This window comes from Homo sapiens, chromosome 3, assembly GCF_000001405.40.
Source record: "Homo sapiens chromosome 3, GRCh38.p14 Primary Assembly".
NCBI lineage: Eukaryota > Metazoa > Chordata > Mammalia > Primates > Hominidae > Homo > Homo sapiens.
Window position 1 is genome coordinate 9,809,727 of NC_000003.12, and position 27,714 is coordinate 9,837,440.

Genomic DNA, 27,714 nt, shown 5'->3' on the forward strand with positions numbered 1-27,714 from the left:
CTCTTCCGCCTTCAGTGCCCTGCTCATCAAGGGTCTGGGTGAGGCCCCAGGTCATAAGGAAGCCCTCGCTCGACTGCCCCGGGGCCCATCGCAGCCCCCAACCAGCCCCGAGCGGTCTGATGGTGCCCAGGGAATGGTTTCCAAGGCAATAGCAAACGGGGCGGGGCTTGGAACGGAGGACAAGGCTCGAGCCTAGGCAGGAACTTCCCGGGAGAGGAGGCGGCGACGCGGAGGGGCGCGGGATCAGGGGCCCTGGGAGGGCGAGCGCGGCGAGGGGCGCATGCAGGGCCCCGACGCGCCACTGCTCCTGAGCGCGAGGGAGCTGGGGCCCGGGCGCCGGGGCTCGGCCTCCTGGTACCGCCAGGAGGGCGGCGCGGTGTGCAACTGGCTGCGGAAGCCGCAGCCGCTCGAGCCACGCACCAGTTTCCCCTCGGCGCGCCGCTCCGAGTTCCGTCCACCCAGGAGGCTGCCATGGGCCGGCCCTGCCTCCGCCCAGTCCGAGGAGGGTCACGCAGGCGGCAGATGCCAGGCGGGCAGCCCCGCCCCTGCGCGCCGCCTCAGCGGCGCCTTCAAGACGCTGGTCCCAGGCACCCACGCCCAGGGCGCCTCGGATACCCACCCCCTCGGCCCCCCGCACACCCCGGTCCTCGACCCCTCTCCGCAGGATGGTGAGGCCCGTGCGGCCCGCTCGCTCTGGCCTACAGCGGCTGCGAGGACGACAAGACGCTGGGGTGGAGGGACTGGGGGTCGGGAGAAGAGCGGCTGAGGGTGGGCATCTGGATGAAGGCAGGAGGAAGAAAAGAGGCGTGGCTATGGGCGGCCAGAAAAGATCCTAGGCCGAGACCCTAGGCCCAGCCTCAGTGTACCCCGCCCCTATTCCGCATCTTTCTGCAGGTTTCCCGGTCCTCTGGCGAGGATCCTCCAAGGCGTCTCACATGAACCGGCTCAGAAACGCCAAAATCTACGTGGAGAGAGCTGTCAAGGTCAGAGGAGGGGCAGGGGCGCTTAGAAAGGGCCCTGGGAGCGGCTCAGCCTGTCTCCCTGCGCTGTTTTCTTATATCCTTAAAAAACAAAAGCAAAAGAAAAAACAATAGCAAAAATCCTCAACCACCACACCCATCTTCAACTACCTCCCCGTTTACCCCTTCAGCACCAAACTTCTGGGCTCCCTCCACTCTGGTTCCCTGCGATGTCCCACTCTAATCAAGGTGCCTGGTGAGTTCCAGGGAGCCAAACCCAGCAGTGCCTTTCGGTCTTGATCTCGGTTGGGCACCCTGTATCTTTCGACACCGCTGCCCCACACACCCTTCCTCTTGGCTGTCTGACTGCACGCTCCTAGTTTTCCTTTCTCCCTCTTTGGCTGCTGCTTTTCAGCGGCCTTTAAAGGTTCCTCAGCCATTAGTGGCCCCCTGGCCCCTTCCCCAGGTCTGTCTCCTTTGGCTGTGTCCTTGGCTGAGTCCAGTCAGTGTGCTGCACCCTCTCCGTGCCCCTTCCAGCCCAGCCTCGAACTCCACATCCCGTAGATCTAGCCCCTACCTGTCATCTACACCCAGAAAACTTAACAAGCATTTCAAATTCATGTCCCAAACCAGACTTTGATCTTCCTGCCCAAACCTGTCGTCCTCCCCAGTCTCCAGTCTTTCCCATCTCTCAGTTCCTCACGCCAGAAATCTCATCTTTCTGTTTCTTCACCCACAGGTCTAATTCCATCAGCAAAACCACTTGTCATCTCCACCTCCAAAACGATTCTCAACTCTAGCACCTTCTCCCGTCTGTGTTGTAACCACCTTCATTTTAGTAATTGTGATTTCTCTCCTAGGCAAACTATGACAGCCTCCTAGCTGGTCTACCTCCATCCTGTCCCCTCATCTTTTTGTAATACAGCAGCAAGCCAAGCTTAGAAAGATTCCCTCAGTTAGCCTTTTTTGCTCATGACACTCTTAGTATGAAATCCAAGTCCGTTCCAAGGCCTGCAGGGCCTTCCACAGTCTGGCCACTGCCTACCTCCTCTGGGGCTTTCCCCATCATTTTCCATGTTCCACTCACTCTGGTCTCCCTTCAGTTCCTTCTGACCTCTCTCCAGCCTCAAGGCCTTTGCACATGCATTCCCCTCTGCCTGAACCGCCATTTCCCAGCTCTGTACATTCATGGCTTCCTTTCAACCTTCCCTGACCATGTATTTCTAAGTAGTTTCTCTGGATCCCATTAAGTATGCAGTTTCTGGAGCCAAACTGCCAGGATGTAAATCCCTGCTCTTTTGCTTAACCACTATGGGGCCTCAGGCACCCTGCTTAATTTCTCTATGCCTCTGTTTCATAGCCCGTAAAATGGAGATAACAGTATCTAATAAAAATGCATAGTATTGGCCAGACGCGGTGGCTTACACCTGTAATCCCAGCATTTTGGGAGGCCAAGTCAGGAGGATCACTTGAGGCCAGGAGTTGGAGACCAGCCTGGCCAACACAGTGAAGCCCAGTCTCTACCAAAAAATATAAAAATTATTTGGGCACCAGATGAGGTGGCTGACGCCTGTAATTTCAGCACTTTGGGAGGCCAAGGCGGGCCTTGGCCTGAGGCCAGGAGTTCAAGACCAGCGTGGCCAATATGGTGAAACCCTGTCTCTACTAAAAATACAAAAATTAGCCGGGCGCAGTGGCACACGCCTGTACTCCCAGCTACTGGGGAGGCTGAGGCAGGAGAATCGCTCGAACCCGGGAGGTGGAGGTTGCAGTGAGCCAAGATTGTGCCACTCCAGCCTGGGCAACAGAGCAAGACTCCGTCTCAAAAAAAAAAAATTATCTGGGCGTGGTGGCATACACCTGTAATCCCAGGTACTCAAGGAGACTGAGGCAAGAGAATCGCTTGAACCCAGGAGGAAGAGGGTGCAGTGAGCCGAGATTGTGCCACTACACTTCAGCCTGGGCAACAGAGTGAGACCCTGTCTCAAACAAAACAAAATAAAAACACACAGTATTGTTAGTAATGCATGTAAGTGCTCAGCATGTAGTAGGTCCTCAATAAATATTAGCCATTGCTATTATCATTATTACCATGCATATTTATTTCTCTACTTATTTATAGTCTGTTTATTTCTCCTAATGGAATATAAAAATTTCCTGATGGCAGAGTCCATAACTGTCTGGTTCACCTTTATATCCCCTATGTCTGGCACTTATGCAATACTTATTGAAGAAGTATCCTTCTCTCACATTGCAGCAGAAGAAGATCTTTACAATCCAAGGCTGCTACCCGGTGATCCGGTGTCTCTTGCGCCGGAGGGGCTGGGTGGAGAAGAAGATGGTCCATCGCTCAGGCCCCACCCTGCTGCCACCCCAGAAGGATCTGGATAGCTCAGCGATGGGTGACAGTGACACCACTGAGGATGGTGAGTGGTTCCTTCCCTTTCCACAGCTGTTGCTCCTGAGTCCTTTTCCTTTGGTTCCCACTGTCCCAGAGTTGAGGCCTTATGGGCTATGGGTCAGGGAGAGGAAACTCATCAGCTCTGGGCTCTGCATCCACAGAGGATGAAGATGAGGACGAGGAGTTCCAGCCATCACAGCTGTTCGACTTCGATGATTTACTGAAATTTGATGACCTAGATGGAACACATGCTCTGATGGTGAGGGCCCTGGGGGCCAAGATGATACAGGGACTGCCTGCTTAGAGGGAGGGCATTGGTGTCCAGCTGGGTGACCTCAGACAAGTCCTTTCTTTCTCTGGGCCACAGTTTCCCTATCTGTAGTAAAAACTGCTTCTTTAAAGGCTGGATAGAGCTGGACATGGTGGCTCATGCCTGTGGTCCCAGCTACTCAGGAGGCCAAGGTGGGAGGATAACTTGAGGCTAGGAGTTCAAGACCAGCCTGGGCAACATAGTAAGACTCAGTCTCTACAAAAAAAGGTAGAAAAACATTATCCGGGTGTGGTGGCATGTACCTGTAGTCCCAGCTACTCGGGAGGCTAAGGTGGGAGGATCACTTGAACCTGGGAATTACAGGCTGCAGTGAGCTATGATCGCACCATTGCACTCCAACCTGGGCAGCAAAGCAAGACTCTATCTCTAAAAAAGAAATAAGTGAATAAAGGCTAGATAGGCCCACAGAGTGGGGAGGGACACAGCAGGGCTGTGTCCCATCTGGCCTGGGATTCAGAGCTCTGCTAGGTCATACCAGATGCCAGCACAGCCGCCATGCATGGTAACTCCCCCTTCAAATAAAAACCCCATAGTTCCCCTTCCCCGCTGCCCTTGGTAAGTGAAGGCAGGAAGGAAGGTCTTAAAAAGCTCTGGAAGAGACGGAGCGGGGTGGCTTATACCTGTAATCCCAGCACTTTTTGGGAGGCCGAGGCGGGCAGATTCCTTGAGGTCAGGAGTTCGAGACCAGCCTGGCCAACGTGGTGAAAACCCATCTCTACTAAAAAAACAAACAAATAAAAAAACAAACAAATAACAACAACAACAAAAAGTAGCTGACTGTGGTGGCAGGCGCCTGTAATCCCAGCTACTCGGGAAGCTGAGGCAGGAGAATCACTTGAACCCAGGAGGTGGAAGTTGCAGTGAACTGAGATCACGCCACTGCACCCCAGCCTGGGTGACAGAGCGAGACTCCGTCTGAAAAAATAAATAAATAAAATAAAATAAAGGCCAGGAGCAGTGGCTCACACCTGTAATCCCAGCACTTTGGGAGGCCGAGGCTGATGGATCACCTGAGGTCAGGAGTTCAAGACCAACCGGGCCAACATGGTGAAACCCTGTCTCTACTAAAAAAATAGAAAAATTAGCTGGGTGTAGTGGTGTATGCCTGTAATCACAGCTACTTGGGAGGCTGAGGCAGGAGAATTGCTTGAATCTGGGTAGCAAAGGTTGCAGTGAGCTGAGATCGCGCCACTGCACTCCAGCCTGGGCGACAGAGTGAGACTCTGTCTCAAAAATAAAATAAAAATACAAAAATTAGCCAGGCATGGTGGCGGGCGCCTGTAATCCCAGCTACTCGGGAGGCTGAGGTGTGAGAATTGCTTGAACGTGGGAGGTGGAGGTTGTAGTGAGCTGAAATTGCGCCACTGCACTTCAGCCTGGGTGACAGAACAAGCGATAACTCCATCTGAAAATAAAGAAAAAAGGTTGAAAGAGTCGGTGTGATGATGTGGAGGACATGCACGTTGAGGTGAGGGCCCTTGGGTTTCCATCTTGGTAGTGCCACTTACTGAGTTCAAATATATAAAATTGCCATTTCTGGCCGGGCATGGTGGGTCATGCCTGTAATCGCAGCACTTTGGGAGGCCAAGGCGGGTGGATTATTTGAGGTCAGGAGTTCGAGACCAGCCTGGGGAACATGGTGAAACCCCGCCTCTACTAAAAATACAAAAAAATTAGCTGGGCCTGGTGGCGCACACCTGTAATCCCAGCTACTAGGGAGGCTGAGGCAGAAGAATCAACTTGAACCCAGGAGACGGAGCTTGCAGTGAGCCAAGATCACGCCACTGCACTCCAGCCTGGGCGACAAGAGTCAGACTCCATCTCAAAAAAAAAAAAAAGCCATTTCTGTATGTCAGGAATGGCTGAATATTGGCAGCTTCATATGGGTCAATCTCATGAGCCCTTGGGCAAGTCACTTGCCTTCCTGTGCCTCAGTTTCCTCATCTGTAAAACAGAGATAACCTTAGCCCCTACCACATAGAATTATGGTGAATGAATTGACGTGGAAAGTGCTTAGAGCAGGGCCCAGCATGGGCTGACGCTGGTTATTAATAATTACCCCACCTCCCAGAGTTGTAGGAAGGAGGGAGAGAGGTGGGGTCCATGAGAGAGCCTGTGTCACAGGCTGTGTGCCCATCAGCTTGGAGTCACTGTCCTGCCCCTGGGCAAGTCACTGATGACCATGGGCCAGAACAAAGTGTGACATTCAGTTGTGCAGCTTTGTCACTCCTTGGGGACACCCTTAGGGGCCCTGCCCCCTCAGCAGCTATCTCCATAGGTGGGTCTATGTCTCAGTCTTTGGAATTTGCCATGGTTTGATGAGGCTAATGCCAACTCCTTCTCACGCTGCCACCGCCTGGGGGCTGACAAGCCTCATAGGACACCTTAAGCAGTGACAAAGGGAGGCAGAAGAGAGTCTTTGGCCTCCCTAAGGCCAAAAGGAGGCTGAAAGGCTGGCTTGCTCTCTGCCCACCTGTGCCCTGGAGGAAGAGAAATCTTCTTGACTTACACAAAGATGATGTGTGGGCTAGAGGCCACCTTGGAAGCATCCTCTCCTTCCTGTTCACCCACCCTGCTCAGCAGGGCAGGGAGAGGCTGCCTTAGGCCCTGCTACCCACACTGGCCTCTGTGTTTCTGTCTCCTCCTGTCTCCCCAGTCCCGCATGGTCCAGAATGAGATCCCCTACTTCATCTGGACCACTCGGCGGGATGTGCTCGACTGTCGCTTCCTCTCCAAGGATCAGATGATAAACCACTACGCCCGGGCTGGCTCCTTTACCACAAAGGTGGGCTCCCTAGAGGAGCAGGCAGGGCAGCTTCCGACCCCCTGCCCTTGGGCTGGCAGCTCTCCTCCCTGCTCACCTTGTTAGTAAGAGGAAGTTCTCAGGACAAGGGGAAGTATACAATTCAGAAAATTTGGAGTCTGACCAGTATCTGGCAAGTTCAAATCCAGCCCCTGCACCGTATCCGGCATTTGTAGATATGATGTCTAAAATGGGTCTGGAGGTAGAACAATCACCAAATCCAATGATAGTGAGCAAACGGACTCTTACCTCCTAAGCAGAAGATATCTGGCTAATGGACCCATTCTGTCTTACCTGGGTTTCTTTTTTTTTTTGAGACAGAGTCTTGCTCTGTCTCCCAGGCTGGAGTGCAGTGGTGCAATCTCAGCCCACTGCAACCTCTGCCTCCCAGTTCAAGCAATTCTCCTGCCTCAGCCTCCTGAGTAGCTGGGACTACAGGTGCGTGTCACCACACCTGGCTGATTTTTGTATTTTTTAGTAGAGATGGGGTTTCACCATGTTGGTGACCTCAGGTGATCCACCTGCTTCAGCTTCCCAAAGTGCTGGGATTTCGGGCACGAGCCATCATGCGCAGCCTTACCTGGTGTTCTTAGCAAGTGACTTCACCTCTCTGAGCCTCAATTTCCTCATCTTTCAATGAGAATACCAGTAAGGCCCATCTTCTGGGGTTGTGGCAAGGATGAAGGGCTTTATAATAATGACCTGCCATTATATTATTGGTGTGGGTTAGGAAGGATTCTAGAGGAAGCAGCTCTTTTTTTATTTTTAAGAGATGAGGTCTTGCTATGCTGCCTAGGCTGGTCTTGAACTCCTGGCCTCTGGCCTCAAGCAGTCCTCCCACTTCAGCCTCCCAGAGTGCTGGGATTATAGGTGTGAGCCACCGCGCTCGGCCTTGGCAGCTCTTTAAGAATGAGAAAGGGTGGGCCGGGCACAGTGGCTCACGCCTGTAATCCCAGCACTTTGGGAGGCCGAGGCAGGCAGATCACCAGGTCAGGAGATCGAGACCATCCTGGCTAACACGGTGAAATGCCGTCTCTATTAAAAATACAACAAATTAGCTGGATGTGGTGTCGGGCGCCTGTAGTCCCAGCTACTCTGGAGGCCGAGGCAGGAGAATGGTGTGAACCCGGGAGGCAGAGCTTACAGTGAGCCGAGATCGCGCCACTGCACTCCAGCCTGGGTGACAGAGTGAGACTCCATCTCAAAAAAAAAAAGAATGTGAAAGGGGGGACAGGAGGGACATCAGGCATTCTTGGCAAAGGACACCTCCCAGGCAAATATATGGTGATAGATGTGAGCAACTCAGACCTTGCAAGCGGGGCCAAGGCTCTGAGCGCAGATCCAGTCAGAGTCTTTCTGAACTGTCTGGGTGTGTGGTGAGTGTGGGCAGTCCTGCCCTGCCCTCTCAGTGGCTAACTCCGTAGGTGGGTCTATGTCTCAATCTCCGGAATTTGCCGTGGTTTGATGAGGTTGATGCCAACTCCTTCTTCCCACGCTGCTACTGCCTGGGGGCTGAGGATGACAAAAAAGCCTTCATAGGTAAGGAGACCCCCAGCCCTATGCCTGAACCTCAGGCTGACAGAGCAGGGCTGAAGCTCTGGCTCATATTGGAGAGAAACAGGCCTCTCTTCATGCCCTCATCTGCCTGCCCCAGCAGATTTCCCTTTCCACCCTCAATCCTTATCCTTCCCTAATGTGCCCTCCCTTAATAAGCCTCTTAGCTTGGTCAACTCTGACCTCCAGAAAAGCTTGGGTAGCTTGGCTTATATTCTAGAGCAGGTTCTAAAAGTTGGTCAGTCCCTTGAGTTTGGAATCCAGAACAGATTCCAGGCTTATATCAAGTTCCATTTGTTGAATTGGGTTCCAAAAAAGGCTGCAGGCTTTGGATTTCTAAGGCAGACTAGGTTCCGATTCCACAATATGTTCTAAATTCAGGTTAGAATTTGGATCCAGATTCTATGCTAGATTTAAATTACATTCAGAATCTGAACTAGGACACAGTCTGGTTCTCAGGACAGAATAAGTATCAAAAGTAGGTGATGAACAGAAGAAACAAATCAGACAATGGGTCCAAGCCAGATTCTGAAGGCAGAATATGATCCAAGTCAGGTCAGATTTGGGGTCTGGTTACACAACTGAAACAGGAGCAAGTTCTTTTTTTTTTTTGAGACGGAGTCTCGCTCTGTCACCCAGGCTGGGGTGCAGTGGCGCGATCTTGGCTCACTGCAAGCTCCGCCTCCCAGGTTCCCGCCATTCTCCTGCCTCAGCCTCCCGAGTAGCTGGGACTACAGGCGCCCGCCATCACGCCTGGCTAATTTTTTGTATTTTTAGTAGAGACGGGGTTTCACTGTGTTAGCCAGGATGGTCTCGATCTCCTGACCTCATGATCCATCCACCTCAGCCTCCCAAAGTGCTGGGATTACAGGCGTCAGCCACCGTGACCAGCCTGAAACAGGAGCAAGTTCTAAACTCAGGCTCTAGAGTCAGAAAAGGTAGAGTCAGGTTCTGGATCCAAAATGGGGCAAGTCATGATCAGGTTCTGGAACCAGAACAGGCCTCAAGCCTAGGGGCTGAGCAGGGTATCCCCTGGCCTGGGAGCAGAGGACTTCTGGCTGACTGCTGCCCGCAACGTTCTCAAGCTGGTGGTGAAGTCTGAGTGGAAGTCATACCCTATTCAGGCAGTAGAGGAAGAGGCCTCAGGTAAGTACTGTGGTTACCTCCACTCTCCCACCCATTTATCCTCCACCCATCCGCCCTTCCACCTATCTGCCCTTCTACCTATCTATTCATCCACGCACCTACTGGTTCATCCACACATCTGTGTATGATTCACATCTACCCATCTATCCATCCATCCACCAGCCATCCATCCACTCATCCACCCACGTATTCACCCACTCTCTGATCTACCGATTCACCCACCCACCCTTCCACTCATCCTTCCATCCTCCCACCTGTCACCCATTGTTAATCTCGTCATTCATCTACCTGATGTCAGCTCCATACTCCCCATCCATCTATCCACTCCCTGCCTACCTATCCTTCCACAGATCCACCTACCCATCTATCTACCTGCTATTCCATTCTCCCATCTACTACCTATCTGTTCTTCAGGCCATCCACTCATCCATTCTTCTGTCCCAGGTACTTAGACACTTGTCTTCCCATCCGTTTGTTAGTTGATCCACTCCTCATTCAGCCCTCCCATGGGCCTGGCATGTAGCCGAGCACCCTGGAGAGGGCAGACTAAGAAGACATGGTCCGTCCCTGCCTGTGAGGAGTTCAGGTCTCTGAGGAGGAGGAAGCAGTGAAACTGGGCTTTACACATGGCCTGAGAACAGCTTAGGCCTGAACATAAGGAACAGCTTGGAGTGGAGGGGACACAGAGGAACCCTCACTATCATGCATGCCAACCCAACCACTGCCTGCCCTTTCCCTTCTGGATTTAGCTCGTGTCTCCAGGCTCCTAGTCCTGTAATCCAGGGACCCATCAGCGAGGGATTCAGGGAAGCAGAGGCAGCTCTCCAGGAAGGAGGAAAATCCCTGCCTCTTCCAGAGAGACTCCCCCATTGCTGTCTCTTGTGTGTGTCATGCACAAGGAAGGCTTGGTTGTGTGCCAGGATAAGGGGCACAAGGGCCTCGGGTGTGGCCAGAGACCCCATGCTTAAGCTTTTATGGTATAGGTCAGGCTGCAGGGGTTTGAGGGCCTCAGTTGTATATCAGAATCTTCAGAGCACTGCGATGTTCAGGGGTGAGTCAGGTCTGTAGATGTGCACGGGGTCTTCTGAAGGGTCAGTTTCTGTAATCACTTTCAGGTGTGTCAGGGCCTTGTGCAGTAACAGTGCACACAGAAGTTAGTGTTTCTGTGGGCTAAGGGTTGTAGCTCTGTATCAGGATTCTGGGAGTGGGTCTGGATTTCTGGTGTGTGGACTTAAGAAGCTGTGTCAGACTTGGGGGAGGGGCGTTCATGTATAACTGGGTTCACATAGGCCAAGACTCCCAGGTGCATTTTAGGCAGAGCCTCAGGTGTGTTAGAGGTCCCAGGGGCAGAGAGGCTATAGGTGCTGTCAGAGGCCTTGGGGACATTTAGGGCAGAGCCTCGAGTGACAGGTCCTGGGACAGTGGGAGCCAAGGGCAAGTGCTAGAGTTGCAGTGAATTTAGAGCAAAGCCTCAGCTAAGTGACACATCCCAGGGCAGTAGGGGATCTATCTAGGTTCGTGCTGGGCCTCAGGTAAGTGACAGGCCTTAGGACAATGGGGGCTGTGGCATGCGTCAGGTTACCTGCCTTGATATGGGATCGTGACAGGCCCCTCCCTATGTGCAGGAGACAAGCAGCCCAAGAAACAGGAGAAAAACCCAGTGTTGGTGTCCCCAGAGTTTGTGGATGAAGCTCTGTGTGCGTGCGAGGAGTACCTTAGCAACTTGGCCCACATGGACATCGACAAGGACCTGGAGGCCCCGCTGTACCTCACCCCCGAGGGCTGGTCCCTCTTCCTCCAGCGCTACTACCAAGTGGTCCAGTGAGTCCCCTGCAGCTGGGACTTTGGGCTGTGGGCAGGTGCTTAGGGATAGACCCTTTCTGTCTCGTGCAGCCCCTACCCCTTCCCCAAGCCTCCCGCTCGTTTACCCCGCTGTTCTGCTCAGGAACCCTCGAGGACTCCCACTGCCTCCGTGATAGGGTCTGGGCCACTTTTCTTGGTTCTTGGCATAGCATAGTCACTAAGAGCATGGACTGTGCCACCAAATGGACAGCACATTACCCAAAGTGTGTGTTGTGTGGATGTTAATTCTACAGGAAGTAAATAGATTTTATGAAAAAAGGGCTTTTGTGGTCCATCACATTTGGAAAACACTGGATTAAGCAGTTAAAGAGGCTTCCCTGGGGCAGTACTCTTCAGAACCTGTGGGTGGTGTAAGCCTATAGAGAGAGTGCGCTGCTTATCCTGTACTTAAGTGAGCCCAGTGCCCTGCCTCCCACCAAGCATCCTGAGGGGCAGTGTTTTCTGAACACACTTTGGAAGAAGGTTCTTAGGTGGGGAAAGGGAGGATCAAGGTGAGCCTGGTGCTGCTTTAGGGAGATTCCATTCGGGAGAAGCATGCAGGAGCAACTGGAGGGAGAACAGCCCTGAAGGCAGAACACACAGTAAGCATTTCTTGAGCAACTCCGATGTGCCAAGCATTGTGCCAGGTTCTGAAATGAAGCGTAGCCCCTGTTCTCAACTGGGACACAGCTCAAGGTTTGAGACCTGCAGGAAGCCAGGTGGGAGTGCTAGGAATCTCAGCTGGGGTGGTGGTAATGGGAAGAAATGGATAGATTTAATTACTCAGTAGGGGAAACCGAAGAACTAATGAATGACATGAGCAGCAGATCCACATCATTAGCACGTAATTCACTGCATCTTTTCTAAATGCCAGGACATAACTCAGGTGGCCCGGTACTTTCTCTTTAGCTACTGGAAAATGTAAAGCTGCCCATTTTAAATTAAGAATTATCAAGGTGGCCAAGCGTGGTGGCTCACGCCTGTAATCCCAGCACTTTGGGAGGCTGAGGCGGGCAGATCACTTGAGGTCAGGAGTTCAAGACCAGCCTGGCCAATATGGCGAAACCCCATCTCTACTAAAAATATGAAAATTAGCTGGGCATGGTGGCGCACGCCTATAATCCCAGCTGCTCAGGAGGCTGAGACAGGAGAATCGCTTGAACCTGGGAGTCGGAGCTTGCAGTGAGCCGAGATCGCGCCACTGTACTCCAGCCTGGGTGACAGAATGAGACTCCGTCTCAAAAAAAAAAAAAAAAAGAATTTTCAAGACTTAGAACATTAGTCATGAAGCACGAGTCCCTTTTTTTTTTTTTTTTTTTTTGAGACAGAATCTTGTTCTGTTGCCCAGGCTGGAGTGCAGTGACGTGATCTCGGCTCACTGCAACCTCCACCTCCTGGGTTCATGCGATTCTCCTGCCTCAGCCTCCCGAGTAGCTGGGATTACAGGCGCCCACCACCACGCCCGGCTAATTTTTTGTGTATTTTTAGTAGAGATGGGGTTTCACTATGCAGGCCAGACTGGTATCGAACTCCTGACCTCGTGATCCGCCCTCCTCAGCCTCCCAAAGTGCTGGGATTACAGGCATGAGCCACCGCGCCCGGCCATGAGTCCTTTTTATTTCTGGTGTGTGGGGGCAAGTTCTGGAGGGCTATAAGAACCTCTCTAAAGTCGGGATTACATAAAACATTGCATCATATAACAGACATACACAGTGTTGAATGGTTCAGTACAAATGACCAGCATTCATTCATTCCCTCAATATTTTATTTTATTTTTTTGAGACAGGGTCTCACTTTGTTACCCAAGCTGGAGTGCAGTGGCGCAGTCTTGGCTCACTGCAACCTCTGCCTCCCAGGCTCAAGTGATTTTCCCACCTCAGCCTCCTGAGTAGCTAGGACTACAAGTGTGTGCCACCAGGCCTGGCAAATTTTTGTGTGATATACATATATCGTTGTATGTATATATTATGTATTATATATATTATAATATATATAATACATAATATATACATATATATATATATTTTTTAGAGACGTGGTTTCACCATGTTGGCCAGGCTGGTCTTGAACTCCTGAGCTCAAACAATCCGCCCGCCTTGGCCTCCCGAAGTGCTGGGATTAACAGAGTGAGCCACTGCACTCGGCCTAATTCATTCAATATTTAGTGTTAATGCTTCTCAACTTTTTAAAAAAAACAATTCCACTTGGGGCGGTGGCTTATGCCTATAATCCCAGCACTTTGGGAGGCCAAGGCTGGCGGATCATGAAGTCAGGAGTTCAAGACCAGCCTGGCCAATATGGTGAAACCCCATCTCTTCTAAAAATACAAAAATTAGCAGGGCCGGGCACGGTGGCTCACGCCTGTAATCCCAGCACTTTGGGAGGCCAAGGCGGGCAGATCATGAGATCAGGAGATCGAGACCATCCTGGCTAACATGGTGAAACCCCATCTCTACTAAAAATACAAAAAAATTAGCTGGGTGTGGTGGTGGGTGCCTGTAGTCCTAGCTACTCGGGAGGCTGAGGCAGGAGAATGGCGTGAACCCAGAAGGCGGAGCTTGCAGTGAGCCGAGATCGCGCCACTGCACTCCAGCCTGGGCAACAGAGCGAGACTGTCTCAAAGAAAAAACAAACAGCCAGTTTTTTTTTTTTTTTTTTTTTAAATCCTGGATTTTAAGAACTAAGCCAGCCAGGTTTTCATCAGGCTGACTTTTCATTAAAATACTGTTTTTTTTTTCTTTTTGCTAACTATAAAATCATATTGTCATGTCGAATATACTTTTTCAAATTACGCTCCTGTGTGATATTTTCCTGGGCCACATCACAGATTACTGAAAAGATACTTCATGCTACGGACCACAGAAAAGTTTGTCAGGACATAGGTGTGAGTACTCCTGGGAGACCTTGCCTAGCCCCCTGCATCTGGCTGTCCCTGTTCCTGGCACTGCCCCAGTGGCTGCTGCCTCCTCCTTAAAAAAGAGAAAGTTCTCCATGACTGGAGACACTCAAGATGCTAAGATGTCACAGAGTTAGCTTCCCCTGAACAGGAGGCTCCCGTCCTATTCAGTCAGAAGGAAAGAAATGCGAGAGTCTGGATGAGGCAGCCATCTGGGGTATTTTGTGACTTGGTTTAGTTCAGGACATTTTCTGTCTTGTAGAGAACAGGGTCCCTCTTTGTCCATGAAACCCTGTCCGTGCAGCCCAGTTGCTGAGGCAAGCTCCTACCAAAGTACTTGCTGAGCCAACCGTTCATTCATTGAGCAAACTTCCAGGGAGTACCTGCTGAGTGCCAGGTGTGGTGCTTGGGGATGGGGATTATAGCAGAGAACAACTACAGAAAATGTTCCTGCTCTTACGGAGTTTACATTGTAGTTAGGGGATTCAGACAATAACCAAATAAGCACATGTGTTAGGTGGGGGTAGATGATGGGAAGAAAACAAGCAAGAAGAGGTGTGATATAGAAGTGCTTGAAAGGAATTAGGCTAACATTGTTTCAGCCAATATTAGGCACAGATTAAGACAGGAATGAACCCCAAAAAGCACCTGTGGGTGGAGGAATCAGACAGGACAGAGTTTGAATCCTGGCTGAACCACTCAACTTTCAGTGTATGGCCTTCGGTAAGTCCCTTAACTCTCAAAGCTTCAGTTTACTCTTTTTGTTTTTTGAGATGGAGCCTCGCTCCGTTGCCCACACTGGAGTGCAATGGCGCGATCTCGGCTCACTACAACCTCCGCCTCCTGGCTTGAAGTGATTCTCCTGCCTCAACCTCCTGAGTAGCTGGGATTACAGGTGCCCACCACCACACCCGGCTAATTTTTGTATTTTTAGGAGAGATGGGGTTTCACCATATTGGCCAGGATGGTCTCAATCTCTTAACCTTGTGATCCGCCCACCTTGCCCTCCCAAAGTGCTGGGATTACAAGCGTGAGCCACTATGCCCGTCCCAGTTTACTTTTTCTTTTCTTTTCTTTTCTTTTTTTTTTTTTTTTTTTTTGAGACGGAATCTTGCTCTGTCGCCCAGGCTGGAGTGCAGTGGTACGATCTCGGCTCACTGCAACCTCCGCCTCCCTGGTTCAAGTGATTGTCCTGCCTCAGTCTCCCAAGTAGCTGGGATTACAGGCACCTGCCACCATGCCTGGCTAATTTTTGTATTTTTAGTAGAAACAAGGTTTTGCCATGTTGGCCAGGCTGTTCTCGAACTCCTGACCTCAGGTGATCCGCCTGCCTCCGCCTCCCAAAGTGCTGGGATTACAGGCAGGAGCCACCGTGCCTGGCCCAGTTTACATTTCTCTAAAATGGGACCAGAGCTGGGTGTGGTAGCTCATGCCTGCAATCCCAGCATTTTGGGAGGCTGAACAGGAGGATGGCCTGAGGCCAGGAGTTCAAGACTAGCCTGGGTAACATAATAAGACCCATCTCTGCAAAAAATAAAAATTAGCTTGGGTGTGGTGGCGTATGCCTGTAATTCCAACTACTTGGGAGGCTGAAACTTGGACCTAGGAGTTCCTGGCTGCACTGAGCCGTGATTTCACCACTGCACTTCAGCCTGGGTGACAGACCAAGACCCTGTCTCAAAAAAAAAAAAAAAAAGTCGGGGGGTAGGGGGTGGGTACTAGTAATACTTCCCTGGCAGGGCCTTGAGGGCATTCGTGAAAATATATGGAAAGCCCTTGTCACAATGCCTGGCACATAGTGGTGCTTTATCATTAGGAACTGGAATGATTAAATTCTGTCAAAGACAGTTTTAATGTAATAGGAAGGGGGTGGCACAGGTGGAGTGTTGGAGTAGGGGGTGGTTTGCAGTTAATGGAATTTTATCAGCCTTTCCCATTTGTGTAGTCTGGGCAGGTTAGGATTTCCGGGGTGGCTTGAAGGTGGGGCCGGAGGCTTGGGAGGGACCTATGGATATCTGCAGGGAGGGCGTGACCAAGGCTGCCTGGATGACGGCGGGGGATGGTGGAATATATCTCCCCCTGCCCTCTCCACCTGCATGTCCCAGGTCCAGCCCTGCCCAAGTTCTATCATTTCCCCACAGCGAAGGGGCAGAACTCAGGCACCTCGACACTCAGGTCCAGCGCTGTGAGGACATCCTGCAGCAGCTGCAGGCCGTGGTACCCCAGATAGACATGGAAGGGGATCGCAACATCTGGATCGTGAAGCCAGGAGCCAAGTCCCGCGGACGAGGTGGGGGTCAGCTCCTGCTTCCTGCACTGGCACCTCACCACCTGCATCTACCAGTAGAGGCCAAGGAAGTTAATAGTGCAGGTCTATTGAAGCCAAATTGCCTGGGTTTGAGTCCTAGCTCTGCTACTAATGTGCTTCGTGACCTTGAGCAGGTTTTAGCGCCTCCCTGAACCTCAGTTCCCTCATCTGTGACATGAGGAGGATGATAATACCTCCTGTGAGGTGAGGATTAAATGCAGTCATGCAGCTAAAGCACTATTCCAAATCCTCAACGTGCTTCAATTTATGCAATCCTGGGAAACGGAGGCACGTGTAGGCTTTCACATGATCCAGAAGGATATCCATAAGGTCCTGGAAGCAGCAGTTGGCTGCCTCTAGACAAGGAGATACATTTTTTATTGTATGCCCTTTCGTACTGCCTAATTTTTGTTTTGTTTTATAGTCTATTTATTATTGGTAGGAACGTAATAGGTGCACATACTTTAAAAAAGCCCCCAACACTGGCCAGGTACAGTGGCTCATGCTTGTAATCCCAGCAGTCTGGGAGGCCGAGGCGGGTGGATCACTTGAGGTCAGGAGTTGGAGACCAGCCTGGCCAACATGGTGAAACCCTGTCTCTACTAAAAATACAAAAATTGGCCACGTGTGGTGGCAGGCACCCATAATCCCAGCTACTCGGGAGGCTGAGGCAGGAGAATCACTTGAACCCGGGAGGCGGAGGTTGCAGTGAGCTGAGCTCGTGCCACTGCACTCCAGCCTAGGTGACAGGGCTGTCTCAAAAAAAAAAAAAAAAAAAAAAAGTCCAGCACTTTAAATTTGTATCCATGTATGTATTCCTGTTTAATCAAACAAAACTGGTTAATTAGGAAAAATTTAAAATCCTTAGCAAATTCCTGGCTTTCCCAAAGGGAACTGGGTTCTGATTGAGGGAGACAGCCTTACCCACTCAGCCCTATCAGCTCCGAGGGGACAAGAGCTCATGACAAGCTGGCCCTTCTCCTGGCCCACGCCTGACCTTCCAATCCCTGACTGCCCTCTTCCCCCGTAGGCATCATGTGCATGGACCACCTGGAGGAGATGCTGAAGCTGGTGAACGGCAACCCCGTGGTGATGAAGGACGGCAAGTGGGTGGTGCAGAAGTATATTGAGCGGCCCCTCCTCATCTTTGGCACCAAGTTTGACCTCAGACAGTGGTTCCTGGTAACTGACTGGAACCCACTTACCGTGTGGTTCTACCGCGACAGCTATATCCGCTTTTCCACGCAGCCCTTCTCCCTGAAGAACCTGGACAAGTGAGCCCCTCTGCTCGCCTCCCACGAGCTCCCTGCCTAGTTGGGGAGCTGGCAAGCAAACAGGCGATTACAGTGCAGGGGACTCGCGCAGCAGCGCTAGGCTCCACACACAGACTGCAGGCAGGCAGGCCCTCATCCTGCCAGCTGTCCTTGCATCCAACAGATTTTTTTTTAACAGACAGGGGGCGGTCTCACTCTGTTACCTAGGCTGGAGTGCAGTGGCATGGTCACGGCTCACTGTAGCCTTGACTTCCTGTGCTCAAGCAATCCTTCCTCCTCAGCCTCCCAAGTGTCTGAGACCACAGGCATGTACCACAGCTGATTTTTAAGTTTTTTAATGTAGACATGGGGTCTCACTATGTTGCCCAGGTTGGTCTCAAACTCCTGGGCTCAAGCGATCATCCCACCTTGGCTTCCCAAAGTGCTGGGATTACACTATGCCTGGCCCCTCCAACAGATTTGACCGAGTGTGTACCTTGTGCCATGCACTGTTCTGGGCACTTGGGGTATAGCAGTGAACAAAACAAGATCCCAGCTCTCAAGGGCTTACATTCTAGCAGGGAGAAACAGGCAAGCAAGAACACAAGTGAAATTATCTAACAGGTTAAAAGATTATTTGGGCCAGGCGCAGTGGCTCATGCCTGTAATCCAAGCACTTTGGGAGGCCGAGGTGGGTGGATCACCTGAGGTCAGGAGTTCGAGACCAGCCTGACCAATATAGCGAAACCCCGTCTCTACTAAAAATATAAAAATTAGCCGGGCGTGTTGGCGGGCGCCAGTAGTCCCAGCTACTCGGGAGGCCGTGACAGGAGAATTGCTTGAACCTGGGAGGTGGAGGTTGCAGTGAACTGAGATCGTGCCATTGCACTCCAGCCTGGGTGACAGATCAAGGATCTGTCTCAAAAAAAAAAAAAAAAAAAAAGATTATATTTGTCGTTGGGGGAAAAAGGGAAGCAAATGTAGAGCAGGGGAAAGGAGGTCAGGAGTTTTGAAAACTAAGATGTCGTGTTAACTTCTAGGGTGAGAGAAAGCCTTGTTAAAGCCTGAATTCCAATTCTGTCTCTGCAGCTTCCAAGTTGTTTGAATCTGGTCATGTGAAAACCTATTTAAGCCTTGGTTTCCACATCTGAAGAATGGAGGCAGTAGTATGAAATTCATAGCTATCAATTATTGAGTGCTTCATATGTGATAGTGCTGAGCACTTTGTATACATGATCTCATTCTTAATAAGAACCCAGTGCATACTTCTTGTTCACCAGGTCTGAAGAAAAATATAAAAAACAGTGAAGTGGGTACTGTTACTACCCCCATTTTGCAGATGTGAAGAGCACACAGGTTAGATGACTTCCCTAAGGTCTCACAACTAGTGTGGAGATGGCGCTTGAACACGTCCTGGCGATGACGGGGCCATACCCTTACCCACCCTCTTATCTTCCAGACACTGGGATGGTTAACTGAGACTATGCACAAAGCACTTACTACTGCGGCCCCCGTAACTAGCGCCCTCAGAGCAGCCCTGAGAGATAAGAGTGGTTCTGGCCCTAGAAGAATGTGGTGGGGCCCAGGCCTCTGTCCTTTTTGTCCTTCCCAGTAGGGCCCCATCTCAAGTTGAATAGTGCAGGGTGGCCCAGGGCTGCTTCCAGGACTTGCCTGTCCTCCCTGAGTTTGGATGGGAGAGACACAAGGGCCTGGACCTCAGTTTTCTGTTCTCTGCCCCAGCTCAGTGCACCTGTGCAACAACTCCATCCAGAAGCACCTGGAGAACTCATGCCATCGGCATCCACTGCTTCCGCCAGACAACATGTGGTCTAGCCAGAGGTTCCAGGCCCACCTGCAGGAGATGGGTGCCCCAAATGCTTGGTCCACCATCATCGTGCCTGGCATGAAGGATGCTGTGATCCACGCACTTCAGACCTCCCAGGACACCGTGCAGTGTCGGAAGGCCAGCTTTGAGCTCTATGGCGCTGACTTCGTGTTCGGGGAGGACTTCCAGCCCTGGCTGATTGAGATCAACGCCAGCCCCACGATGGCACCCTCCACAGCAGTCACTGCCCGGCTCTGTGCTGGCGTGCAAGCTGACACCCTGCGCGTGGTCATTGACCGGATGCTGGACCGCAACTGTGACACAGGAGCCTTTGAGCTCATCTATAAGCAGGTGAGGAGGTTGGGCCCAGGCAGGACCCCAGAGAGTCTGCACCCTCTTCCAGGCAGCCCTGCAGTGGAGCATAGGACTCTGCAGTCAGACCCAGTTTAAGACCCAGATTCAAGTCCTGGTCCTGCTAAGGTGACCTCACTTCCTTGAGCCTCAGTTTCCTGATCTTTGAAATGGGGATATTATTACCATCTTTCTCATGGGAATGGGAGAATAAAATGAATTCATGTATGAGGATAATATTTCTAGAGAGGCATATAGCATAGCCATAAGAGCAGAGATTCTGGAATCTCCTTGGGTTCAAATTCCTGTTCAGTGACAACAAGCTATGTGACTTTGGACAAGTTCCTAACCCCTAGGTCTCCTTGTCCGTAAGAATAAAAATAGTACCTAACTCACAAAGTTAGGTACTATGAGTTGTGAGAATTAAATGAGTTGATAAGTAAAGTACTTCATTTATTTATTTTTGAGACAGAGTCTCGCTCTGTTGCCCAGGCTGGAGTGCAGTGGCATGATCTTGGCTCACTGCAACCTCTACCTCCTGGGTTCAAGCGATTCTCCTGCCTCAGCCTCCCAAGTAGTTGGGATTACAGGTGCCTACCACCACGCCTGGCTAATTTTTGTATTTTTAGTAGATACAGGGTTTTGCCATGTTGGCCAGGCTGGTCTCGAGCTCCTGACCTCAGGTGATCCGCCCACCTCGGCCTCCCAAAGTGCTGGGATTACAGGCAGAAGCCACCGTGCCCAGCCAGTAAAGTACTTTAGAATAGTGCCTGGCACGTAGTAAATGCTACTAAGTTTTAGCTAATGTTATTATTACCTAATAAGGTTAGGAGTTTCATCATGTATAACCTGTAAAGTGCCTGAATGTATAGTAATAGGCAATTACTGGTAGCTACTATTATTAGTAGTATTATAATTATTTCACTCGTCTTGCTCCAAAAAGAGATTGGAGTCTACTTGTAAAATAGAACAGCATTTTAAAAAATCAGTCAGAAAATTGATTGCAAGGCTTTCTGAGTTCTGGATAGAATTTCTTGTGGCAGTTTAAGTGGCTTCTGATTAGCCTCCGGTTTCTGTCAAGGTTTGGTTACAGGAAGAGAACGTACTGATCACATGACCTAAGTGACCTCGCCTTTGTTACAGTTGTTATTGATCATTTCTTAAATTAATATATTGGCGTTTTGGTTTCAAAAAATGTAAACGGGGAAATACATGGGCAGGAAAATATGAGCAAGCTGAGGGAAAAGGTGCCATTGTAGTGCAGTGCTCCCAATGCCAGTGCCCAGGCCAGAAGCATCTGAAAGCTTCTAAAGGTATGGATGTGAGGAGGCTCCACCCCCAGAGATTGACCCAAAATGTCTAGCTTGGGGAGGAGACTATGTATATCTGCATTTTTCAAATGCCCCCCAAATATCTTTTTTTTTTGAGACGGGGTCTTGCTCTGTTGCCTAGGCTGGAGTGCAGTGGCACCATCTCGGCTCACTGCAAGCTGCGCCTCCCGGGTTCAAGCGCTTTTCCTGCCTCCGCCCCCTGAGTAGCTGGGACTACAGGTGCCTGCCACCATGCCCGGCTAATTTTTTGTATTTTAGTAGAGATGGGGTTTCACCATGTTAGCCAGGATGGTCTCGATCTCCTGACCTCGTGATTTGCCCGCCTCGGCCTCCCAAAATGCTAGGATTACTGGCATGAGCCACCGCGCCAAGCCCTCTAAATGTCTTTTATTGCTGATTTGTTCTTGTTTTTGTTTTTAGGCCAGCACATAGTAAAGGCTTATACCTTGCACTGTTTTTTTTTGTCTCTTTTCATCTAGGCCAGCCCCAGTGCCTTTTGACCCCATAGTTTTGATCTTTTGAGGGGCCAGGCGGGTTGTTTTGTAGAACTGTCCCACATTCTGGATTTATCTGATTGTTTCCTTATGGTGTGATTTACCTTGGTCTTCTGTTAGCTGATTGTCTCAGGAACTAGAAGTTAGGTCAAATAGTTTGATGAGGTTAAACATTTTTCCCAAGAGCACTTCAGAGGTGATGCCGCGTACCTCATGTGGCATCACAAGGCACATCCTGTGAGAGTGTCTCACAGTTAGTGCTGCTGAGTTTGACTGTGGGTTACAGTGGTGGCTACCAGATTCTCTCCATTATAAGCTACATCTCCCCTTTGCAATTAATTTTTCTGTAAGGTGCTGTGTTGGCTCTGTCCAGATTACACATTTTCCTGTCATCCTTTCATCTAATTGTTTTGATACCAGTTTTGATTATTGCCTATTTTATTAGAGTTGCAAAATGGCAAATGTCTAATTCTGTTGTTCCTTCTGCATTTATTAGCTGAGATTCTTCTGTAAAGATGAACTTTCCCTCATCATCTGGGGCTACTTGGGAGTGCTGATAGCTACATTTTTATTTGATTTTTTTTTTTTTTTTTTTTTAGACAGAGTCTCACTCTGCCACCCAGGCTGGAGTGCAGTGGTGCTAGCTCGGCTCACTGCAACCTCCGCCTCCCGGATTCAAGTGATTCTCCTCAGATCCCGAGTAGCTGGGATTACAGGCGCCCACCATGGCCGGCTAATTTTTGTGTTTTTAGTAGAGATGGGGTTTCGCCATGTTGGCCAGGCTGGTCTCCAATTCCTGACCTCAGCTGATCCGCCTGTCTTGGCCTCCCAGAGAGCCACCGCGCCCGGCAATAGCTGCATTTTTTTTTTTTTTTTTTTTTTGAGACGGAGTTTCGCTCTTTTCACCCAGGCTGGAGTACAATGGTGCGATCTCGGCTCACTGCAACTTCTGTCTCCTGGGTTCAAGCAATTCTCCTGCCTCGACCTCCCGAGTAGCTGGGATTACAGGTGCCTGCCACCATGACCTGCTAATTTTTTTGTATTTTTAGTAGAGACAGGGTTTGGTTATGTTGGCCAGGCTGATCTCGAACTCTTGACCTCAAGTGATCTGCCAACCTTAGCCTCCCAAAGCTCTGGGATTACAGGTGTGACCACCATGCCCGGCCAATAGCTGTATTTTTAACAAGCTCCAAGTAATTCTGATGTTTAGATAGATTCTGATCAGGATCCTTCAGTGGCACAGAAGATACCTCCAACTGGCTCCAGGTTGCTAGCAAGGCACAGGGAGCTCTCCTGGAGCCCAGCTGAGGGCAGGACATACAGCTTGGCCTGATAGGAACTGAGAGTTGTAAGGGAGTCCCTCTCCTGGACCCTTCTCTCTGCCTTCCTCTGCATATTCGTTACTTCATTCTCTCCACAGACTGTCTTCTTTAAGGTTCTTAGTTTCTGCTACCCCATAACCTGGATTCACACGAGGCTCTAGGCAGGCTCCAAACCTCTTACTTGTCTGGGTGGCGTAACTCAAATTCTCTGTGCAGAGAATCTGATTGGCTCAGCTCAGGAAGCTGTCCACCAGCAGTGGCCTGTGCAGTGGAGCCACACGCATTCCAGCAGGGGCTGGGGGCAGCTTAGGAGGGAAATGTGGCTGAGGGGTGCTGGTGGGACATGGCTAGGATTCCCCCTTCCTCTGGGCTAGCAATTCCTGGAGCTCTGTGACTCTAGGTACTGACTCAGAGGTGGGCTTTCCATTTCTCAGCTCAGAAACGCCTCTTTGACCAGGTGCCTCAGAAAGTAATTCCACCCATCTCTACTCTGGGTCCCGCTGGGCCAAGGATTCCAGTACCACTGACTGAGTGGGCCTTGTCTCCTCTTCTTGCCCACAGCCTGCTGTGGAGGTGCCTCAATATGTGGGCATCCGGCTCCTGGTAGAGGGCTTCACCATCAAGAAGCCCATGGCGATGTGTCATCGGCGGATGGGGGTCCGCCCAGCAGTCCCTCTGCTGACCCAGCGAGGCTCTGGGGAAGGCAAGGACTCGGGGACCCCTACCCACAGGTCAGCTTCTAGGAAAGGCACTGGGGCCAGGAGCCTGGGGCACAGTGAGAAGCCAGTCTCCACTGCCACCACTTCAGCCCCCGGAAAGGGGAAGAAAGGCAAGGCGAAAAGGGCCACAGCCCTGGTCTGCCCCAATCTCTGGGAGTGGGATGCCCCCAGCACCAGGATGGGCTGCATTTTCACCATGACCTTTTCTAGTGGGGACAGGCAACCCCACCACTTGAACAGATTGCCACTGAGTCCGAAGAACCCCCGGGCCCTGGGTAAGACCATTCCCCCAAAACACCCGAGTGTTCCAAGGCGATTTATTCCTGCTCTCCAGGCCCCTCCCAACCACCTGGATCAGCCACCCCACCAAAGAGCCACCAGTAGCAAGTAAAAGCCACTACTCACAAAGTATTGTTTAAAAATACACAGCCAAATTAGCTGGGCACGGTGGTGTGAGCCTGTGGTCCAGGCTACTCGCGAGGCTAATGAGGATCGCTTGAGCCCGGGAGGTTAAGGCTGCAGTGAGTTATGATCGCACCTCTGCACTCCAGCCTGGGAGACAGAGCGAGATGCTGTCTTAAAAACAAAGACACAAAAAAAGCACTTTGGGAGGCCGAGGCGGGCAGATCACTTGAGGTCAGGAGTTCGAGACCAGCCTGGCCAACATGGTGAAACCCCATCTGTACTAAAAAATACAAAAATTAGCCGAGTGTAGGGGCAGGTGCCTATAATCCCAGCTACTTGGGAGACTGAGGCACGAGAATCGCTTGAACCCAGGAAGCGGAGGTTGCAGTGAGCCGAGATTGCACCATTGCACTCCAGCCTGGGCAACAAGAGCAAAACTCTGTCTCAAAAAAAAAAAAAAAAAAAAAACCCAGCCAAATGAGTATTGTCTCCTCCAAAGTAGTCACTCTGCCTCACAGAGTGACTTATTTCAAAGATGACCTGATTTCAAAGATGCCAGGACTTAAGCCCAGGTTGCTCTCTCCAGCGCCCACGCTTTTCCCACTGCAGTATTCTGCCTTTGCCTTCAAGCAGTCACCTCTCGGGGAAAGAACTAACACATGTCCAGCACTTAACAGTTTGCCCCATACCGCTACCTGCCCAGCTCCTTTAGTGTTTACACCAACCTAGCAAGGTAGGTGCTATTATCCCCATTTTCCAGCCGAGGTATCAGGAAGTTTAAGGAAGTTGCCCAAGGTTGCACAGCTCAGAAGGGGCACAGCTGGGATGCAGACCCAGGTCTGTTGGACTCTACCCTGTTTTCTTCTCACTGCCTCTGGAGGAGGAACCGGGAGGGCTCCGTCGGCCTTCACCCCATTCCCTCCATATCCCCCCATCCTCCACACGTACCTGTTAGGGCAGCTAGGCCACCTTGGGCCCCACCCCAGGGCCTCACAGCTTCTCTTGCTCCCACAGCCCGTCACCACTTCCCCAGCCTCCACACCAAGGCCCAGCTGCCTTCTCCCCATGTACTCCGACACCAGGGCCAGGTCCTCAGACGACAGCACAGCAAGCTGGTGGGCACTAAGGCCCTGTCGACCACAGGCAAGGCCTTGAGGACTCTACCCACGGCTAAGGTCTTCATTTCCCTCCCACCGAACCTTGATTTCAAGGTGGCACCCAGCATCCTGAAGCCAAGAAAGGTGGGCCTCGACCTGTGACTCACACCCAGTGGACAGTGCTGAGCACGGGGTCAGGGCTGGAGGGCACAGGCAGAGGGCAGCTCCCAGGCTGGCTGGCACCCCAAGGGAAGAGCTGGTCTCCCTCAGAAGCCCCTTCCTCCACAGACTTCTGATCATCTCCCTCTTCTCCCCTCCTTTCACACCGAGGCTCCTGCTCTCCTGTGCCTCCGAGGCCCCCAGCTGGAAGTGCCTTGTTGCCTCTGCCCTTTGAAGTCGGAACAATTCCTAGCACCTGTCGGAAGGTCAAGGCCAAAGGCAAATTCAAGGCCAGACTGTGACAAACCCAGGGCTGAGGCCTGCCCCATGAAGAGGCTGAGCCCCCTGAAACCCCTGCCCCTTGTTGGTACATTCCAGAGGCGCAGGGGCCTGGGGGATATGAAGCTAGGGAAGCCCCTGCTTCGATTCCCCACTGCCCTTGTCCTGGATCCAACACCAAATAAAAAGAAACAAGTGAAGTATTTGGGGCTTGACTCCATTGCTGTTGGAGGGTCAAGAGTGGATGGGGCGAGGCCGTGTACCCCAGGGTCCACAGCAAGAGCCTGAGGCCATCAGCAGCTCCTCCGTGCAGCGAGGCCCAGAATTCCCACCTAAGGACAGACATGGGGCTTCCTATTTAGGGACTCCCCCAGCATCTCCGATCCAGGGGTGGGGAGCGTGAGCCTTCACTTTACAGATGAAGAAACTGAGTCTGAAAGAGGAGGCATGGCTTACCCAAGATCACGTGGCAGTGAGTCGACGCAGGGACATATTGCCAGAACTGCCGAGCACTGGGAGCCCCCCAACCCCAGAGAACAAGCCAAGCTAGCAGAATGACACCTACCGGGCATAGGAACGTTAATGCCATGAGACAGGGGAAGGAATTGGCCTTGCCTAAACCTCAGCCCTTCTGCAGAGGGCATGGGTCTATCCCTTCTTCAGCAAGGGGCCAAGGTCACCTAAAAATGAAACATCCAATAAGCCACACCCACCTGAAGAAAAGTGTGGCACTGCTTAGTTGTAGTGGGTTGAACTGTGGTCCCCTGAAAAGAGATGTCTACTTGGACCCTGTGAATGTGACCTTATGTGGGAAAAGAGTCTTTGTAGCTGGGTATGGTGGCTCACACCTGTTATCCCAGCACTTTGAGAGGCCAAGGCAGGAGATCGCTTGAGCCCGCAAGTTCAAGACCAGTCTGGGCAACATGGTGAAACCGTTTCTACAGAAAATTAGCTGGGTGTGGTGGCACACACCTGTAGTCCTAGCTACTCGGGAGGCCTAGGTGGGAGGATTACCTGAGCCTGGGAAGATCAAAACTGTGGTGAGCTGTGATCACGCCACTGCGCTCTGAGCCTGGGAGACAGAGTGAAACCCTAAATCAAAAAAAAAAAAAAAGGTCTTTGCAGATGTAAATAAATTTAAGATCTTAAATGAGATAATCCCAATGACCAGTGTGGTGCTTACATTCAATGGCAAGTGTCTTCATAAGAAAGGATTAAGGGCCGGTGGCTCACTCCTGTAATCCTAGAATTTTGGGAAGGCTGAAGTAGGTGAATCACCTAAGGTCAGGAGTTCGAGACCAGCCTGGCCAACATGGCGAAACCCCGTCTCTACTAAAAATACAAAAATTAGCCGGGCATGGTGACATGTGCCTGTAATCCCAGCTACTCGGGAGGCTGAGGCAGGAGAATTGCTTGAACTCCAGAGGTGGGGTTGCAGTGAGCTGAGATCGCGCCACTTCACTCCAGCCTGGGCGACAGACTGAGACTCTGTCTCAAAAAAAAAAAAAAAAAGGAAAGATAAGGCTGAGGCAGGAGGGTTGCTTGAGTCCAGGAGTTGGAGGGTAGCCTGCTTGGGCAACATACTGAGACCCTGCTTTAAAAACAGAGATTCAAAAACAAAACAACAACAAAAACATTAGCCAGGTGTGGCGGCACGTGCCTGTAATCCCAGCAGGAGAATCGCTTGAACCTAGGAGGCAGAGGTTGCAGTGAGTAGAGCTCACACCACTGCACTCCAGCCTGGGAAACAGAGTGAGACTCTGTCTCAAAAAAAAGATAAGGAGGCTGAAGCGGGAGGGTTGCTTGAGGCCAGGAGTTGGAGGGTAGCCTGCCTGGGCAACATACTGAGACCCTGCTTTAAAAAATATAATAGAGTAAGAAGGCTGGGTGCAGTGGCTCATGCCTGTAATCCCAGCACATTGGCGGGGGGTGGGTGCCAAAACAGGTGGATTGCTTGAGGCCAGGAGACCAGCCTAGTCAACATAGCAAGACCCCATCTCAATTGTTTTTTTTTTTTTTTTTTGAGACAAGGTTTCACTCTCACCCAGGCTGGAGTGCAGTGGCAAGATCTCGGCTCACTACAATATCTGCTTCCTGAGCTCAGATCATCCTCCCACCTCAGCCTCCCAAGTAGCTGGGACTACAGGCACATGCCACCACACCTGGCTAATTTTTTTTTGCATATTTTGTAGAGACAGGGTTTTGCCATGTTGCCCAGGCTGGTCTTGAAATCCTGGGC

At 51.2% G+C, this 27,714-nt stretch overlaps 2 protein-coding genes across 31 annotated transcripts in view, besides 8 other annotated features; both read left to right on the forward strand.

The window, feature by feature from the left end:
• The window catches only part of ARPC4-TTLL3 (ARPC4-TTLL3 readthrough), a 43,809-nt gene extending 17,179 nt beyond the window's left edge, over positions 1–26,630 (forward strand). The window contains exons 5-12 of the mRNA NM_001198793.1: positions 3,217–3,385; positions 3,522–3,619; positions 7,919–8,033; positions 10,820–11,015; positions 16,074–16,222; positions 17,271–17,514; positions 19,234–19,669; positions 24,955–26,630. Of these exons, the coding sequence (NP_001185722.1) occupies positions 3,217–3,385; positions 3,522–3,619; positions 7,919–8,033; positions 10,820–11,015; positions 16,074–16,222; positions 17,271–17,514; positions 19,234–19,669; positions 24,955–25,095 (1,548 nt within the window). The 3' untranslated portion in view covers positions 25,096–26,630. The remainder of the gene's footprint in view (positions 1–3,216; positions 3,386–3,521; positions 3,620–7,918; positions 8,034–10,819; positions 11,016–16,073; positions 16,223–17,270; positions 17,515–19,233; positions 19,670–24,954) is intronic.
• On the forward strand, positions 1–26,639 carry TTLL3 (tubulin tyrosine ligase like 3). 30 transcript variants are annotated; one of them, NM_001387446.1, is made up of 14 exons: positions 536–668; positions 895–983; positions 3,217–3,385; positions 3,522–3,619; positions 6,348–6,476; positions 7,919–8,033; positions 9,096–9,194; positions 10,820–11,015; positions 16,074–16,222; positions 17,271–17,514; positions 19,234–19,669; positions 23,378–23,519; positions 24,955–25,181; positions 25,368–26,639. In NM_001387446.1, the coding sequence occupies exons 2-14, from the start codon at positions 936–938 to the stop codon at positions 25,761–25,763; spliced, it is 2,448 nt and encodes an 815-aa protein (NP_001374375.1). In that variant the 5' UTR covers positions 536–668; positions 895–935; the 3' UTR covers positions 25,764–26,639. The 30 variants fall into 30 exon arrangements, 24 of the variants coding, with proteins under 24 accessions (NP_001374377.1, NP_001374396.1, NP_001374383.1 ...); NM_001387448.1 differs by lacking the exons at positions 536–668; positions 6,348–6,476 and adding exons at positions 1–196; positions 24,701–24,777 and having other exon boundaries at positions 23,378–23,645; positions 24,955–26,639; NM_001387467.1 differs by lacking the exons at positions 536–668; positions 6,348–6,476 and adding exons at positions 1–38; positions 24,701–24,777 and having other exon boundaries at positions 8,829–9,194; positions 24,955–26,639.
• Positions 238–717: a silencer, noted in NCBI's record as "silent region_14044". NCBI's record gives its function as "represses an Ori minimal core promoter by ATAC-STARR-seq in GM12878 lymphoblastoid cells {active_cell/tissue: GM12878}" and the evidence as "EXISTENCE:reporter gene assay evidence [ECO:0000049][PMID:35858748]".
• Positions 14,812–15,032: a silencer, noted in NCBI's record as "fragment chr3:9866222-9866442 (GRCh37/hg19 assembly coordinates)". NCBI's record gives its function as "represses an EF-1alpha promoter that drives an FKBP-Casp9 reporter gene in an ReSE screen in K562 erythroleukemia cells {active_cell/tissue: K562}" and the evidence as "EXISTENCE:reporter gene assay evidence [ECO:0000049][PMID:32094911]".
• Positions 15,624–16,124: an enhancer, noted in NCBI's record as "H3K4me1 hESC enhancer chr3:9867034-9867534 (GRCh37/hg19 assembly coordinates)". NCBI's record gives its function as "activates a minimal SCP1, AML or CMV promoter by ChIP-STARR-seq in naive H9 embryonic stem cells {active_cell/tissue: H9 hESC(naive)}" and the evidence as "EXISTENCE:reporter gene assay evidence [ECO:0000049][PMID:30033119]".
• Positions 16,125–16,625: an enhancer, noted in NCBI's record as "H3K4me1 hESC enhancer chr3:9867535-9868035 (GRCh37/hg19 assembly coordinates)". NCBI's record gives its function as "activates a minimal SCP1, AML or CMV promoter by ChIP-STARR-seq in naive H9 embryonic stem cells {active_cell/tissue: H9 hESC(naive)}" and the evidence as "EXISTENCE:reporter gene assay evidence [ECO:0000049][PMID:30033119]".
• Positions 17,459–17,959: an enhancer, noted in NCBI's record as "H3K4me1 hESC enhancer chr3:9868869-9869369 (GRCh37/hg19 assembly coordinates)". NCBI's record gives its function as "activates a minimal SCP1, AML or CMV promoter by ChIP-STARR-seq in naive H9 embryonic stem cells {active_cell/tissue: H9 hESC(naive)}" and the evidence as "EXISTENCE:reporter gene assay evidence [ECO:0000049][PMID:30033119]".
• Positions 17,593–17,662: a silencer, noted in NCBI's record as "silent region_14045". NCBI's record gives its function as "represses an Ori minimal core promoter by ATAC-STARR-seq in GM12878 lymphoblastoid cells {active_cell/tissue: GM12878}" and the evidence as "EXISTENCE:reporter gene assay evidence [ECO:0000049][PMID:35858748]".
• Positions 17,673–17,742: a silencer, noted in NCBI's record as "silent region_14046". NCBI's record gives its function as "represses an Ori minimal core promoter by ATAC-STARR-seq in GM12878 lymphoblastoid cells {active_cell/tissue: GM12878}" and the evidence as "EXISTENCE:reporter gene assay evidence [ECO:0000049][PMID:35858748]".
• Positions 25,353–25,852: an enhancer, noted in NCBI's record as "H3K4me1 hESC enhancer chr3:9876763-9877262 (GRCh37/hg19 assembly coordinates)". NCBI's record gives its function as "activates a minimal SCP1, AML or CMV promoter by ChIP-STARR-seq in primed H9 embryonic stem cells {active_cell/tissue: H9 hESC(primed)}" and the evidence as "EXISTENCE:reporter gene assay evidence [ECO:0000049][PMID:30033119]".